This window comes from Homo sapiens, chromosome 11 (genome assembly GCF_000001405.40).
Source record: "Homo sapiens chromosome 11, GRCh38.p14 Primary Assembly".
Lineage (NCBI taxonomy): Eukaryota > Metazoa > Chordata > Mammalia > Primates > Hominidae > Homo > Homo sapiens.
In genome coordinates, this window is record NC_000011.10 from 76,763,111 (window position 1) to 76,781,055 (window position 17,945).

Sequence of the window (17,945 nt, forward strand, 5' to 3'; positions counted from 1 at the left end):
TCACACCCTGCAGGGCAGAGGCTGGTGCTCTCCAGGGATGGAGATGCCGCCCCATCCCTGATGCCCCCTTCAGGGTTCTCTCTCATGCCAGTCATGGAGCCCTTTCTTTTGTCCAATCTCAGCCCTTCCTTCCTTCATCCATTCATCAGATAGCCCCTGACAGCATCGCTGTGCTGGCACAGGAGTAATGCAGGGATGACGGAACAGCCCCTGTAGGTTCCCCAGTCTGTTTCACTTTGATGGCATTACCTGTTAAGCACCCAACTTCTCCACCAGCCCGGACCCAGGTGAGGCTGGAACCAGGTGAAACAGGACCCAGGTAAGGCTGGACCCAGGTAAGGTGGGACTCAGGTGGCACAGGGCATGGGAGGTACTCTCTAAATAGTTGTTCAATGTTAAAGGAATGGATGAACAAATGAATGAATAGCCAGGTCCACAGGAATACTTTGGTAACAAGATGCTTACTGCTTCAAAGGAAGCCCATTTTCCTAAAGGTTGGAGGTGACAGACCCAGGCTGAGGCAGGCATAGCTGGCCCAAGATCTCCTTCTGACATGGGAGGTGGAATCCACTGGAGAAGCCGCTGCTACCCAGAACCTTCCCATACGTGCCTGGGCTCCAAACTGGGAGCTGGCGGATTCCCCAGGCCTGGAAACCCCCAGTAGGGTTGTCTGACTCCACCCACACCCCACAAGGCTGGTCATTCTCAACCCTGTTTCTTGGAAGGAGAAACTGGCTCATGATCAGACGTTCTGGAATTCACTACAGGAAGTGGCCATTGAGTGAGAGGAAAGGCCCCTGGTTAAATGAGCCAAGAATTCTGCATTTTGATTCCCACTCCAACATTTAAAGCCATGGGATGCAGGCTCAGACGGACCTGGGTTCAACTCCAGTTCTGCTGTTTAAGAGCTGCCTGGTTTCTGGAAAGTTACTTACTTCACTGAGCCCTGGTTTCCTCTTTTGGGAAAGGGATTATAGTATCTGCCTCAACAGGTTCTTGTGAGGATTCTAAGAGGAACCTGTAGGGCTGATACTCAGCTGGCATGCAGATTCTAACTTACTGCTTGGTAAACAGCCATGACTCAGAGCCCCTTGAGTGCCTCTGCCATGCAACCCAGCATCCCCCAACCTTCCCACCATGATTCAGCAACCAAGGGGTTAATATCTAGCCCCTCAGAAGGTCCTCAAGATCCTGGCAACCCTTCTGATTGGTTGCTGCCCATACTGAACTAAATGGGTGCCAATAAATGCTCTGTAAACTACAAAGTGCTGGCTAACCCCAGATCCACACTTCCAGCTCCAATTTATCTCCTGGAGGCTCTTCACCCACCTCCCGGCCCTTCCACCTTCATACTTCATGCAAATGGCACTCTCACAACTCCCAAATTGAACTGAGTTTCTCCAGTTAAACTCATCCCAGGGACTGCCTCCACCTCTGCCTGGCAGACTCCTTCATTACCCAGTCTCTATCTGGCAGTGCTGTTTCCTCTATGTCCCCTAGCTCTGTCCCTCCTTCCTGCCCCCACCCACCTGGTGCCTTCATCATTTCTCTGCTAAATCACAACTACCTTCCCACTGGCCTCTGGACTCCAGTGTGTCCTTCCACATCATTCTCACACTGTAGACAGAATCACCTTCCAAAAGCGGGGTCTCTCATTGAGCCCTCAGTGAAACGTCAGCCACCATTGACATCCCTCAGTAATGATCATTGGAGGTTTGGTTCCTGGGGAAGGAGACTCTGAGATGAAGGTTTGCTTGCAGGAGGTTTATTGGGGGAGTACATTCAAGGTCAACACCTGGCAGGGAGTGATTGAAGCAGAATTGGCCAGAGGGATAAATTGGGTTGTGAGGCAAACCCCACAAAGGCCTCGGCCAGCCCCTCAGGGAGCTGTGGAGCTGGAAACTCTTCATAGTTGTCCCAAGTTGGGGCAAGGGGCCTGGGCTTTTATACCCCCATGTGAACCAGTCTCTGGATGCAGGCTGGCCCTGGAGGGACCATGGCATTAGGTGAGGAGGCAATGACGGTGGTGGGAGGAGTCTCACCTGCAAGCTGCCTGCCATCAGCACTCTCAGCAGCGGAGGTGTGGGGGTAGGAGGCACAGGCATTGGCAGCACATCGCAGTGCCCGCTACAAAGATGTCTTGGGTCAAGTAGGTCCTCAGGAATGTTTGTCGCATGATGAAAAGAATAACTCCCCATCACCTTCAAGGCACATTTTGAGTATCTGGTGTAGCACACAGGCTCTTCGTGATCCACCCCAAACATCCTCCCCATTCCGTCTTCCTCTCTCCCTCTCCCCACTCGCACCATATTGTGCTTCTTGCAGTTTCCCAAGCTCAACATGCTATTTCACACCTCTATGCTTTTGCACGTGTTATTTCATCTGCCTGGACTGCTTTAAATGGAAAAAAAGAAATCCTATTCTCTTCTTCCAGCCAATTCCTACTCCTTCATCAAGACTCCAGCTAAGCTCTGCCTCCCCTGGGAAACCTTCTATTAATTCCTCCAAGTCTGGTGCTCCCACCTCATGCAGAGCACAGCCATTGGGTTCTAATCTGCCCCCGGGCTCCTCCAGGCTCAGATCCACAGGGCCTGGTTACTCCATTACTTAGGATGCATTTGTGCTGGAAGAAGTCTTGGGGGATGGCAAGGGAGAAGAAATGGCAAGTGTGAAGCCTGGAAGCATGGAAGTACCCAGTATGTCGGAGAAGGCTGAGCAGCGTCTCATACTGTTCAACGCAACGGTTGTCGCCATCCTTTCCCCACTCATTCCCATCTTCACCATCATCATTGTTGTCATCAAGGCCACACTTTCTGAGTGCTGACTACATACCAGGCTCTGCGCCAAGTGTTTTAGACACACTTCCCTTTAATCCTTATTTTATCCTCACTATTAATAACCTTCAAAAGTAGGTACTATTATTATCACTGTTTTACAGATACAGAAACCGAAGTTCAAGCAGGTTAAGAGCTCTGCTCAAGGTCACACAGCTGGTTAATGATCTGTGTGACCCAAGGACACTCTCTGTTCACCACTCCAGCAGGGAGCTGGGCCACACTGATCTCATCCCTTTCCAAGCCTCCCACCCCATCACTGTCTGCCTGTCTAAGGAAACTCCTTTCCTAAATGAAAGGACATGCCACTGCGAAGATGTGGGGTGGGCCCAGCCAGGGCAGCCAAGAGACCTGGGAGGGGTGAGGGAGAACATTCTGACCACATTCGCCCTTCTAGATCCGACCAACACAGGGTTTGATTCAGCTCCAGCCACTGCATGTTGCTGGGAGATCTTGTCCCCTCTTCACGTCTGCAAATAGGGAATCTGAAGTCCCAAAAGGGAAGGGCCCCATCCAAGGTCAAGGTCACACTGACCATCAGGGGGTCAACTGAAACTACAGCTTAGACTCTGGGCTCCCAGACCAGGGCCTCGCCCACTGCCAGCCTAACTGCAGCCAAGGCTAATTTTAAGGGATAATTTGAGGGTGCTGGGAAGAGTTCCTCCTCCCCACACAAGGGTGTACCTCCCCAGGCTGCTGGTGATACCTGGAATCCCTCCAGAGGGCACAGGTCATGAGCCCTGGGTTCAGGCCCACCGTCTCCTCTCCATCCTCCCTGGGACCCTCCTGCCCGGGCTTCCTCGCCTTAGGAAATGCACAAGCAGCCAGGGGCTGGCTCTGAGGAGGCTGTGGAAGGAGGCTGCCCCCAAACCTGGGCACGCCAGGAACAGAGAGACAAACAAGAGGCAGCAGAGCCCAGTGAGAGGCTAGTAGCCACATTGGTTTTAATCAGGCTCCACGCATACCAACTGTGTGACCTTTGGGAAGATATCTAATTGCTGTGGGCCTCAGTTTTCTCAGCTATAACATGGGGATGAGAGTTACTATCTGGCAGGGTTGTTGTGGGGATTCAGTGAGGTAGATATTGCTGGTATTTGATGAGGCAGCAGGGCTGGGCACCCAGAAGGGGCTATCGGTGGCAGCTGGGATTATTATTGAGTCTGGAGTCAGACAGAGCTACAGGACTTTATGCCTGTCCAGTCCTTGCTGGACAACACTGGTTCCTCCATGATCCTGGAGTCTGGCATGAGGCCTGGCCAGGGTGCCCAGTACCTAAGGTCTATTGAATTGTTTGGAGTTCTGTGGCGGCAGAACTGACCCCAGCGGTTGGGTGATGTAGGAAGAAAGGTACAGTGTGAGGGAGAACTTCCTGCTACCTGAAGGTAGAAGGAAGCCGTGGAGATGTGGGGAGTTCTCTGGAAGTTTTCAAGCAGAAGCTGGGTGGATATTAGGCAATGATGCCATCACTGAGAGTCACGTAGATTCACTGAATTTATGCTCCTGGGGAGAAAGTCTAAGTTGGAAGGCCTCTCACAGGCCCTGAAGTCCAACCCCTCAACATATACATGGGGAGACAGGCCCAAAAAGGGAACAGACTTGCCTAAGGTGAGCCAATGCCAGATCCGGGACGAGGAGCAGGGCTCCTGTCTCTGCAGAGAGGGGACTGGTGCTATTATAACCATTTTATAAAAGGGAAGACTGAGGTCTGGGGAGAGGTAGAAACTTGCTGAGGTCACCAAGAGAGTGTGTGAGAGACCAGAATCTATGTGTCTGGCTTCAGGGTTCCCCCATGGCCACCTGGCTAGAGTAGGACCAGAAACCTGATCCCACCCCCAGCAAGGCTGGAATGAATCCTTCCTGGGCCCCTCCTGGGGCCATTGAGCAGTGTCTCCTGGCTGGAAGATACCAAAGCACGCATTAGCTCTGAAGTCTGTTTCGTCTGTGAAAACACCAGGTCCTGGAGGAGAGGCCTTCCAGGCGCTAACGACCCACCCACTGTGCATCTGAGGAGGAACCTGGGCTCAGAAAGGGGAGTGGTGGCTGCTCCAAGATCCCACGGCCACCCTGGCCAGGCCAGGCCTGGACCCCAAGGCTAGACTCTCTCAGGAGAGGGACAGAAACAGAGAGAGACAGAGATACCAGCTCAGACAGGAGAATGTGCTCACCTGGCAAAGTCAGAGCAGTAGGGAGGAAACATCTGCAACCACTTGGCAAGCACAGGCAGCTCCTGGCAGCTTTAGCTCTCCACAGTCAGGAGCCTTTGAGCACTGGGAGAGAAACAGCCTGGATTTGCTGCGTTCCGTGAGATCCCTACCGTTCTCTCAGGGGACCCTCCCACCACCAACCTCTACCTTCCCAGTCACTGCACTCAGTGACAGCAGCAGGTGCCTCTAACTCCACACAGCCTTCCTGCCTTCCTGCCTTTGCACACTCGGCTCTCTCTGCCTGGAATGCTGCCCCTCCCTTGTCCCCCTGACTCTTCCTTGCCTTGTCTTCTCAGCTGATGCTTCTCTGAGGCTTCCCAGCCCCCCACCCAACCCCCCTGCCCCCAGCCAGCCCGGCCTACTCCTTGAAGCAGATCAGATGCCATCTGCCCTGGCTTCCCCAGCCAGAGTGCCTCCTTCCCTCTGTCGCAGTGCTGGTCACACCCACAGTCACTGTCTGTGTCTGTGTCTGCCTCTGGCACTGGAGGGGAAGCCTCTGTCAGCAGGGTTGGGCTCTAACCTAAGGCAACATCCCCAATTGCAGCAAAGGGCTGACCACAGAGGACCCACAATTTCCACCCTCTCTCCCTCCCTCTGTCCCTTCCTTCCTTCCTGCCGCAAATACTGACTGAACTCCTGCTGTGTGCCAGGCACTGCTCTAGGTGCAGGAGCTACAGCAGTCAACAACACAAAGCAGTGAACAAAGTCCCTGCTCCATGACTGCCACTCTAGGAGGGGATGAGGAAGCAGACAATAGTGACAATACAATCAATAATCCAGAGAAGTTTGGGTGGCGACAGGTGCTATAAAGAAAGTAAAACCACGTTTACTGAACTCAGAACTGCAGACAGGGAAACCAGGGGTGCAGACAGGTACAGTGGGCAGGAAGCAGGGGCATGGTAAGTTCCAGACCCTCTGGGCCCCTCTGTTACCTTCCCTCTCAAGGGCTGCCAGGCGCTGGGGGAGGCAGGCATGTGGGAAGGAAGCCTTGGGGCCCCCCTGGAAGTGCCAGACGTCTCTCCCACCCACAGACATACTTCCTGGCTCTCCAGGAATTTGATTCAGCAACAGCAACTTAGCAGTTACTTGTGAAAGTCACAAGAACTCCCTTGAGAGTTCCAGGGGTGGAGATGGCCTCCGCCGCCTCTCACTGAGCCTCCCAACAGCCTGGCGAGGTGGGCATGATTAACCTCCCATCGAAGGAGGACCCAAGGTCACACTGTTGGTCCCTGGCCCGGCTGAGATTTGAGCCCAGGTCAGGTGACTGCTGGGCCCACAGGCCTCCCGCCACCCCCTATAGCCTCCCAAAGCCTTGGAGGGCAAGCAAGTGGTCCAGCCATGGCTGCAGCCTGGACACCAAGGACCTAAGCCCAGCACAGGTGAACTGAATGGGAGTCCCTCAACTCCTCTGGGCCTCAGGTTCTCTCTGAGGGTAGCTGTGAGCATCAGATAAAATGCAGCATGCATGCACTGTGGAAAATGCCCCAACTCACCTGTCACCCCCTGCACCCCGAGGCCCCTCCCCTCCTGCCCTCTGTGCCTGGCCAAGTTGGTCAGTCACTCACGGCAGGTGTGCTACTCAGCACGAGCAGAGGCAAAGCAGCTATGGACTCTGCTCACCTCACAGCCTGGCACACAGAAAGCTGTGAACTCTGCTCACCTCCAAGGATGGGGGTGGAGCTGAGGGCAGGATTGCCCGTCTGGGGAAAGAGGAGGGCCCGATCGAGGGTCAGGTGCCCTGGGTCCATGCTGAGGCAGGATGACTCAGTAATATTGCCACTCGCCTCCCCTGAGACAGCCAGCTGCTGTTCCCAGGCCTGGAGAGAAGGCAAAGCCAGCATTTGCTGAGGGCCTACTATGTGCCCATGCTTCGTAGGGTGTTATTGAGTCTACTATGTGACACACAGAGAGTTAAGTCACTGGCTCCATGTTGCATGAGTGTATTAGTTTGCTAGGGCTGCCATAACAAAGTACCAGAGATTGAGTGGCTTAAACACCAGACACGTTTCCTCGCAGTTCCAGAGGCTGGAAGTCGGAGATGGAGGTGTCAGCAGGGCTGGCTTCTGGAGGCCTCTGTCCTTGGCTATAGATGACCATCTCCATGCTCACAGGGCATTCTCCCTCTATGTGTGCCTGCGTCCAGATTTCTTCTCCTTATCAGGACAATGGTCATACTGGATTAGAGCCCATCCTGCTGACCTCATCTTCACTAAATTACCTTCTCCCTGAGCCTCTATGTAAGTGAAGCAATTCAGAGCACAGGCTGTGAAACTAGAGGGCCTGGATTCGAGTGTCAGCTCCACCACTTACTAGCTCTGTGAACTGAGAAATTTGCTGAATCTCTCCATGCCTCAGTTTCCCTCTCTGTAAAATGGGGATAACAGTAGTGTCTTCCACATAGAATTGTGAGGATTAAAGGAGTTAAGATAAGAACCCTATCTTGCCCATTGTGAGCTTCAGCTAAGTTGTTAACTTAAGTTTTATTTACTGGGGCCACTCCCACACATGCCAACAGCACAAAAACTGTGTGTCACAGCTCTGCCTCTCTCTCAGTGTGTGGCCTCGAACAACCAATTTCCCTCTCTGAGCTTCAGTCTGTAAAACGGGGGTAGGAGTCTCACCTCCCAGGGTCACTTTGAGCGTCAGACGTGACCACAGCATAAACACTGGTAAATTCTCTAAGAATGTTTCATCCCTGTAATGACACCAGAAATGAAAATGAAATCATGCCGACAAAGTCTCCTTTTTCCTTTCTGCTACAGGGCCTGTCCTGCAGCTCCAAAACGAGGACTTAGAGCTGGCTAGGGTGGGAGGGAGGATCTCAGCTCAGCCATGAATGGTTCACTGACCCTGGCTGCTCACCAGGGGCTTAAGCATCCCTCCTTTGCAAAATCTTTCTGGAATGTCTGCTCTGAGAGCACAAAGCTGGTAAACTTTCTTCACCCCTGGCAGGACACCTGGCTCTGGTCATGTGGTAGCCTTAGGCACACACACTTACACAACTGTGCACAGCCTGGCCCTGCCCTTTTACCCCCTCTTCTCTCTCCTGCTCTCACCTCCCTCCTCCTGCCCCTTCCACCCTCTGCTTTCTGTCTGTCCAAACTAGACCACCCCACTTACTCCCTTCATGGCCTGGTTTTGAGGATAGACCCAGCTCCCAGGTCTGTCACTGGAGACATCTAGGATTTCAGCCTTTTGGGGGAAGGGGAGGGGCATTCTGAGTGGTGGAGACAGCCAAAGCTACAGCTTACAGGATGGAAAGCACTGCCATGTTTGGGGCCTGTCACCTAGTAGGGGTGACCATTGGCTGTGCCTGGGAGGGGGCAGATGTGTGGTGGGCAGTGAGGCTGGATGGGCAGATGGGACCTCACCTTGTGGTCCACAAGGACGTGGAGAGGTGGAGGCTGGAAGGGGCTGGGTCACAAAGCCCTTTTGGTCAGCATTCTTCGTGGAACCAGGGCTCACTCGAAGGGTACAGCATGGCACAACACAGTATGGCACAGAGGACGTCCCAGCAGAGGCAGGGGACAGACAGGTGAGAGTGTGGACGGTGCTCAGGGACTCTCAGGCCCAAGAGCCTGAGGTGCAACTCTGTCTTGCCACTCACAAGCCATACAACCTTAGTCAAAGCATTCTCCCTCTCTGAACCTCAGTTTCCCCATCTATAAAATCAGACTAGTAATTGTACCCACCTTGTTGTAAGCACTCACCAAGGTGGCGGTTGTGACATTTTGCACAGTTCCTGGCCCATAGCAGGAGCTTTGTAAACGTTAACCCCTTCCCCATCACCCTCCAGTCTCAGCCCTGAGGGCAGCTATGTGAACTGATTCACCCCTGCTATTCACCAAGGTTTACTGAACACCTGTCTCCATAATTCTTGTTATAAGAGATCGTTATAAATAAACACTTACTAAGCAACTACTATGCACCCAGAATCACATGAACCACTTCACATAAATGATTTCATTAAATCCTTTCCACTACCTTGCAAGGTAACAATTTTCTTCATTTTACAGAAAAGGAAATAGTCTTTAAGGGACTCGCCAGGAAGTGGCAAAGCCAAGATTTAAACCCTGTGAGAGGTCACAGCTGGAGATACAGATTTGCAGTTTTTCTGCATCAGGAAACAACTGAATGTGGGGGAGGAGGGAGTGGTCCCAGAAAACTTCCCATTGTAAACTGTTAGTGGGATGTGAAATCTATTTACAGAGACATGACCACCATTGCTATTCCTAATGGAATAGAATGGAGTAGAAAGGAAAATACCAGTCCATATTACACACAGCAAGGGTAAGTACTATCTGCCAAGCTTGTATATATATCCCCAGTTGTGTGATAACATGTGTATCTTACTATGGACTAACTTTTTAAAAAAATCTGAAAATCTCTTAATGGAACTTGTTTGCTTAGGGCCAGGACTGATTCTAATGTGCTCTGAAGTAACCTTCTGTGGGGTAACATTCTGAAGTTCTGTTTGTCTTGGGACAGAAGGTAATAAATTGAGCACAGAGCCCTTTGCACACAATAACGTAATCACGCAACAACCCAAGCATGATAACAAAGTTCCCCGGAGTTTACTTGCCCTCAGAACGCTCGACCTAGTCAAGAGGCTTCTGGGTCACGGTGACATCTTCCCCTACAGGGGGTCAGAGGACTTTGTCAGCTGAAATCATCCTGCAAATACGTTGTTATTAATAAGATATTCTTGCTCGGGTCAGTTGGTGGCAAAAATAGGACTGGAATCATGTGTCCTGCCCTGACCTCCAGTCGGGGGCTCTGTGCCTGCCGTGGTGCTAAGACACAGGGAGATGATGAGCAAGGGAGAAACGGCAGGGTCTGCATGATTGGCAAGGGCCAACAGGCCAAAGGGAGGGAGAGAGACCAACAGAGGACAGACAGAGCAGGGAGGGGATGTGTCCACAGGCCTGTGTGGGGACAGAGGGGAAGGCAAGAGAGAATTGCCAGGCCTCTTGGAGGAGACCAACAGGCTAACAGAAGGACACAAGGGCCCCCAATGCTTGCCCTCCCTCCCTGGGTCCCCTCCACCGGGACTCCCTCAGATGAGCACCTGACAATGGAGAGACCATCTGTGGCTCCAATGCATGTGGCACCAAGGCCTGTCACCTCAGCCTACCCACAAGACTCCACGTCCCGAGAATTGCTCCCCTTCTTTCAGACCTATCCCTCCCTGGGCTCCTTATCCCCTGTACCCAGCCACGCTGAACCACTTATAGCTCCACACCCTCTAGTCTGGTCTTTGATCATGCTTCTCCTTCTGCCTAGAAGGCCCTTAACTTCTTCACTAAGCCCACACTCCCAGCCCTCTGTGCCCAGAAGGACTTTCTCAGCCAGGCCCTCCCTCAGGACACTTTGCCTGATGGCTGTGGCCGGCACTGGGTCTTTCTCTGCTCCAAATGCTCTGCACAGATTTCTAGTGGGCATCCAAAACTCTTCAGGACTAAGGTATGTCTGTGTCAGTGTGCCCACCCCAACTGTAGGCTCCTGGAGCCCAGTGCAAGATTCAATATGTGTCAGAGGTTCAGCAGGTAAACATTTGTTGGATGGATGGATGGACAGATAGAGAGTAAAGACAGGAGGACACATGGATGGAAGGATAGGACAGGCGAGAGGGAATACACAGTGATGTGTGCCATGTAGAGAAGTAAACAGAGCTCTTGACTGGGAGTCTAGAAGCTTTCCTGCTCATTAGCTCTGTGACCTTGGACAAGTCACTCTCTCTCTCTGCACCTCAGTCTCCCACCTGTAAAATGAGAAAGGTGTTGAGGTTAAATGCCTGATATCTGATCCCCAAGGCCTTCCAGCTCCCATGCTGATTTCATGGTGCCTGGAGCATCACATCCTGTCAGAACTTGCAAGTCAGCTTAGCTCCCGGATGTAGGGATAGGGGAAGAGGTTTCAGGGTCAGAGGAAACCTGGAAGCAAAGCTGGGTAAGGGCAGTGCCTCTAGTGCAAACCTGGCCTTCTGGAAGGAGACCAGCTCTGGCAGCTGCTCAGGAGACAATTTGTTCCTGGCCTCCTCCCACCACCACCAAACTGGGAAATTTGGAAGGAGGGCTTGGCAGATTTAACCTAACAGCCTACTGCCTCTTTACAGGCCACAGTCTCCTGCCCACAGAGCGGACCAGAGATCCACACATGGCTCCAAATGAGGGAGCCTCCTTCTCTATTGTGTCCCCTCCCCCAACCAAGGGCCAAAGCCACCTTCCATTTTTTTCCTCTTTGTGCCTTCCAAGCCTCCCACATCTCACACTGTGCTCTCCTGGGCCCTACAAACTGGCTCCTGCCTCAGTTTCCCTGTCCAGTTTCTTTTGTTGTTGTTTAGTTTTTTTTTCTGTGGTAACATGTAACGTAAAATTTGCTGTCTTAACTATTTTAAGTGTATAGTTCAGTGGTATTAAATACATTCATAATGTTATGCTACCACCAACACTGTCCAGCTCCAAAATTCTTTTCATATTGTAAAACTGAAACACTTTACTCATTAAGTGTACGTCTATTAGATCTGGTTGGTTTATTCCTTACTTATCTTCTGTCTGGTTGTTCTATCCATTATTGAGAGTGGGGTATTGAAATCTCCAACTATTATTATAGAACTGTTCATTTTCCCCTTCAATTCTGTCAGTTTTTTGCTTACATTTTGATGGTCTGTTACTAGGTGCATAAATGCTGATAATGTCTTCTTGCGATATTGAAACTTTTGTTTTTTTCCTGAGAGAGGGTCTCACTCTGTCACCCAGGCTGGAGTGCGGTGGTGTGATCTCGGTTCACTGCAACCTCCATTTCCTGGGCTTGAGCGATCTTCCGGCCTCAGCCTCTGGAGTAGCTGGGACTACAGGCGTGAGCCACCATGCCCAGCTAATTTTTGCATTTTTTGTAGAGACAGGATTTTGCCATGTTGCCCAGGCTGGTCTCAAATTCCTGAGCTCAAAGCAATCCATCTGCCTTGGCCTCCCAAAGTGTTGGGATTACAGGCATCAGCCACTGCACTCAGCTGAACCTCTTATATAAAGTCCTTCTTTGTCTCTTATAAACTTTGTGTAAAGACTATTTTGTCTGATTAATATAGCCACCTCTGCTCTCTTTTGGTTACTATTTAGTTGAAATATAGTTTTCCATCCTTTCACTTTCAATCTATTTATGTTTTTACAAGTATCTAAAGTGAGTCTGTTGTAGAGAACAGATAGTTGAATCATGCATTTTTATCCATTCTGCCAATCTCTGTCTTGACTGGAAAGTTTAGTTCATTTACAATTAAAGTAATTACTGATAAGAGGGATTTGCTTCTATTATTTGCAATTTGTCTTCTATATTCCTTATAAAGGATTTTTGTTTGTTTTTTGTTTCTGGTTTTTTTTTTGTTTGTTTTTTTGAGATGGAGTTTTGCTCCTATTGTCCAGGCTAGAGTGCAATGGCGCGATCATAGCTCACTGTATCCTCCACCTCTTGGGTTTAAGTGATTCTCCCGCCTCAGCCTCCCTAGTAGCTGGGATTACAGGTGCCTGCCACCATGCCTGGCTAATTTCTGTATTTTTAGTAGAGAGAGAGTTTCACCATGTTGGCCAGGCTGGTCTTGAACTCCTGACCTTAGGTTCACCTAAGGTCACCTTAGGTCACCGAGCACCACCTGCTCGGCCTCCCAAAGTGCTGGGATTACAGGCATGAGCCACTGTGCCCGGTCAACAGAGGTTTTGTACATTTCCTACAACACCGTCCTCTTATGTTTAGCTTTTTTTTTTTGTAATAAGACATTTCAATTCTTTTCTCATTTCCTTCTGTATATATTCTATAGCTTTTTTCTTGTTGTTAACATGGGGATTATATTTAACATCCGAAAGTTATAACACTATAATTTAAATCTGTACCAATTGAACTTCAATAACATACACAAACTCTGTTTATTTTATTTTATTTTTTAGAGACAGGATCTCACTATGTTGACCAGGCTGGTGTTTAAATCCTGGCCTCAAGTGATCCTCCCATCTCGGCCTCCCAAAATGCTGGGATTAGAGGCATGAGCCACCATGCCCAGCCCACAAATTCTGTTTCTTTAACATATTCCATCCCCAGGCCTTTTTGTTGTTGTTGTCACAGAATTATATCTTTATTCATTGTGTGCCCCAAACCACAAACTAATAATTCTTTTAAATAATTAGCCTCTTAAGTTATGTAGAAAACAAAAAGTGGAGTTACAAACCATTTTTGTAATTGCCTACATATTTATCTTTTTTGAGACCTTCATTTCTTCAAATGTCTTTGTGTCCCTGTCTAGTGTCCTTTTATTTCACCTGCAGGACTCCCTTGAGTATTTATTGTAGAGCAGGTCTAATGGTAAACTCTTTCAGCTTTTGTTTATCTGGGAATGTCTTAATTTCTTCCTCACTTTTAAAGGATGGTTTTGCCAAATATAGGATTCTTGATTGACAGTTTTTTTCTTTTTCTTTTAACACTTTATCATCCCACTGCCTTCTGGCCTCCAAAGTTTCTGATGAGAAATCTGCTGACAGTCTTATTGAGGATCCCTTGTATACGATAAGTCACTTCTCTCTTGCTGCTTTCGAGATTCTGTGTCTTTGGCTTTTGACAGTTTGATTATAATGAGTCTCAGTGTGGGTCTGAGTTTATCTGACTTGGAGTTGGCTGAGCTTCTTGGATGTTTACGTATTTCATCTAATTTCAGATGTTTTCAGCCATTATTTCTTCAAATATTCTCTCCGCTCCTTTCTTTCTCTTCTTCTAAGACTCTCACAAAGCATATGTTGGTCCATTTGATGGTATCCCATAGGTCGCTTAGGTGCTGTTCATGTTTCTTCAATCTTTTTTCTTTATGTTCCTTAAACTCGACCATTTTTATTGTCCTATCTTCAAATTTGTGGATTCCTTCTTTTGCCCCCTCAAATCTGTCTGAATCCCTCTGGTAAATTCTTCATTTCAGTTATTGTACTTTATGGCTCCAGAATTTCTTTTTGGCTTATTTTTAGGTTTTCTCTTTTTTGATCCTCTATTTTGTTCACACATCATTTTCTTGACTTTATCTACATCTTCCTTTAGTTCTTTCAGTATCTTTAAAAGAGTTGTTTTAAAGTCTTTGTCTGGTAGCTCTGCCATCAGGTCTTTTTCAGGGACAGTTTCTGTTTGTTTTCCTTTTAATGGGCCATAATTTCCTGTTTCTTTGTATGCTTTGTGTTGAAAACTGAACATTTAACTAATGATGTGGTAGCTCTGGAAATCCAATTCTCTTCTTTCCCTAGGGTTTGCTGGTTTCTGTTATTGTTTTTCTGTAGATGTTGTAGGCTGTCTCTGTGCCCAGGATCAGCCTGAGGTATAAACTGTTGCTGTTTTTCTGTTGATCTTGTGGACTGTCTCTGTGCCAAACATTAGCTTGCAATGTAAACTTAAGGTCTTCTGGAGTCTTTTCTGAGTGTGAACCTTTCCCTGAACACACATGGTCACTTTCTAACTTTTCCTGTATATACAGTTGCTTTTAAATGTTCTAGTTTTTAATGTCTGGCTCTTAAATGGGAAAAAGAGAAAAATAAAGGAGAAGGAAGGGCACTAGCCCTTTAAATCCTTTGGAAGTCACTTCAGCTGGAGGGGGAGAGTCTTGCAACAACAGGAGAGGTGCAACAACAATGGCCACCTGCTTTTGTGTCTGTATTTCTTTGATTAGAAGCAATAATCAGTGATCAGAGCTCAGATACTCTGTATTCACTATAGGGTCCTTTTTGTCCACCCTGGCTCTCACAAGCTGTGTGCAGGTTGCTGCAGGAACACCCATACAGCCGCCTGACAGGGGGCTGTGGTCAGAGTAGCTGCTTTCATGTTAACAGCTAAAATTGACTGAAATTAAGCACAATTTACTGTCCAAGACTTCCCCTGGAAGTTTCATGCCTTCAATAGACTCCAGTGTTACAAAACAGTTACATCAGACAGATTCTGCCAGTGCAATTGTTGTCTAGGTGGGAAGATGGATTCCTGATGCTTCCTACTCTGCCATCTACCCAGAATCCTCTTCTCTGTCCATTTTTACAAACGTTTTTCCTATGTTGTAAAGTGAATTAACAAGTTGTAAGAGTAGTAGCCAACATTCATCAAATACTTACTAAACTATTAGTGTGTTACTACATTCCAGGCAGTGTTATACACGTGCTATACAGATAATTCATTTAATCCTCACAACAACGTTTGAGGTAGGGACTATTGTTTTCCTCATTTTACAGATAGTAAGGCAGGGTGGGGGGCGGTGGTTAAGAACTTGCCCACTTTGAAGCCAGGATTCAAACCTGAGGTTTGGCCCCAGAGTCTGCACCTTGCTATAATGAGTGAATGGGTGAACGAATGAACAATCTTGCTTATTACAGAGGTATCCTTGGTATGCCATGGCAGCACAGAGGAAGGGTTCCTAATAGTACAATTAGGGGTTGCGGAGGTCAGGGGAGGCCTCCTGGAAGAAGTGATACCTAAGCTGAATTTTGAATAATAAGCAAGAGACGGGGCAGGGCAAGGGGCACTTCTGTAGGCACAAAGAGAAGCAAAGACCCAGAGGTGGTAAGGAACTGCCAGAAGCACAGGAAACCCCAACAGCTGGGGATGTTGGAGCATCAAGTTGAGGCAGGAGGGAAGGCTGAAGAGACAGCTGTACTGAGGCACAGACCAAGTGTTTCTAGGCTCAAAGGAAGAGAAACTGCGGGAAATGGAAATGTCTTTGTGCAGGAGGTGGCAGGGCTCGGAGGACAGTGAAAACTGCAGCTGGTAGATTGAACTGAGAAAAGCATTCCAGGCAGGGGAAAAAGCATGGAGGTGGAAGAGTGGGAGAGAAATATTTAGGGAAGCATTTGATTTGGCAGGATGGGAGAAGCATTTGTCATGCATTGACTGCTGAGACACCAGCAAAGCCCAGGCACAGAATTCCGCCCTCCAGAGGAATGGCTGGAGTTCTGTCCGTGAGCCAGTTTTCAGTTCCAGCTGTGCAATCCTGGGTAAGTCACTTCTGAGTCTCAGTTTCCACATCTGTAAAATGGAGGGGATAATCAACTACCTAAGAAGCCTGCTCAGAGGTTTAATGAGAACATGCATGAAAGGTCTTCCAATTCCAAGGTATTCTGTCATGTCCCGCGGTCCTCGTACTGACATCAGAATAACCAGAGGAACTTTTAGAAAACATAACCTGCCACATGCCACATCTACAGAGTCAGGGTGGGGGGCAGGGGTGGAGACACATCCTTTTTCTTCCAGCTCTTCTTTTCTGCTATTTCCACACATGGTCCTGATGCTTTATTAACTTAAGACCTGCCAGCTTCTGATAGCTGAAAAGAAGAAAATGCAGCAAGAAAAATAGAGATCCTGGAGGCTCATGGAGATACATTGGATCTGAAGGGTTTTCTGGTCAGGGCTTGATCGCTATAATGAAGGACAGAAAATGAAAGACCTGTCTCAAAACATGGAAAATGAGCAAAGCGGCTGAAGGGACGAATAGTGTCTTCTGACCTCCACTCAAGGGCTCTTCGAGAAAAGAGATCTTCCAACAGATCACCCGCAGCTTCAGTATGGCTGTTCAGGTAAGTCAATTAAAATCACACCACGACCAGACATGGTGGCTCACACCTGTAATCCCAGCACTTTGGGAGGCCAAGGCAGGAGGACTGCTTGAGCCCAAGAGTTCGAGATCAGCCTGGGCAAGATGATAAGACCCTCGTCTCTACAAATAATTTAAAAATTAGCGAGGCACATGGTGGTGTGCCTGTAGTCCCAGCTACTCAGGAGGCTGAGGCAGGAGGATCCCTTGAGCCCAGGAACTCAAGGTGGCAGTGAGCTATGATTGCACCACTGCGCTCCAGCCTGGGTGACAGAGTAAGACCTCATCTCTAAGCAAATAAATAAAAGCACACAGCACCCTATGGCTTATAACACATTTGCATCTGTATTGATTCATTTGATCACCCCGATATCCCTGGGAGATAGGGCTTCTTATTTATCCCTATTTTACAGGTAAGGAAACTGAGGCTTAGGGGAGAAAATGACTTACCCAAAGTCCACAGTTAGCCAGGGATAGAGGAGTGATGGTTTGCACCTGGGATCCTTAGATTCCCAGGCCTTTCTGCTACACCACCTCTGCTCTTTGTGGAGATTAAAAGGCAACAGAAAGAGCACTGGAGCCCTAAATGTTGTGCCAGCTCCGCAGAGAACATGCTATGTAACCCCAGACAGATCTCTTGCCCTTTCTGGGCCGCACCACTATCCATCTAGTGTGGTTGTTTGGATTAAATCATGATCTTAAAAGTATCCAGCACAGTCCCTGACATGTCACAGTGGCCAAGATGATCACAAGAAGGGGAAGAGAACGGTGAAAATGATGGTGCTTATATACAAAGGACATGGCAATATCACAGATGGAGAGGCCAACTTCGCCAGAGAGAGGACTCCCTGGGGGCGAAGACACTGAACAGACATGAAGAATGGAGAAGGTCCACCTCCCTTCCCTTACTTCTAGGTGACTAGGGGACTAAAACTTGGGATGTGTAAGAGGGGGTGGCCAGAACTGATGCTGGAGAGTTAAGGTGAGGTGGGGGCATATCACATAGGCCTTGAATGCCACACCAAGCAGTTTGGCTTTTGCCATTGAAAGGTTTTAAGCAGGCAAGTGTCATGATCCATTCTGCAGATCTGCAGTTTAGAAAGGGCACTCTTGCTGGAATGTGGACAGCAGACAGAAGAGGAGAGTCTAGAGGCACAGAGACTCTCAACTGGAGGCACAGTGATGAGGGGAGGTGGGTAAAGTTCATGGAGATCCACCAGCTGAAGCCCCTCAAGGCCACCTCTCCCTAAGGGGAGGTCAAGGGAAATGATGAATGTGAAAGTGCTCAGAAACTGCTGCCAGCTACCAGCCAGT

General features: G+C 48.9%; 1 long non-coding RNA gene across 1 annotated transcript; it reads right to left on the bottom strand.

Annotated features, from left to right (window-relative positions):
• Positions 1-1,749: 1,749 nt before the first annotated feature.
• Positions 1,750-6,645, bottom strand: LOC124902719 (uncharacterized). The gene is made up of 2 exons (XR_007062788.1): positions 5,401-6,645; positions 1,750-5,101 (listed from the first exon to the last, which is right to left on the bottom strand). It is a non-coding gene; the product is annotated as an uncharacterized LOC124902719 (long non-coding RNA).
• Between the last annotated feature and the right edge of the window lie 11,300 nt (positions 6,646-17,945).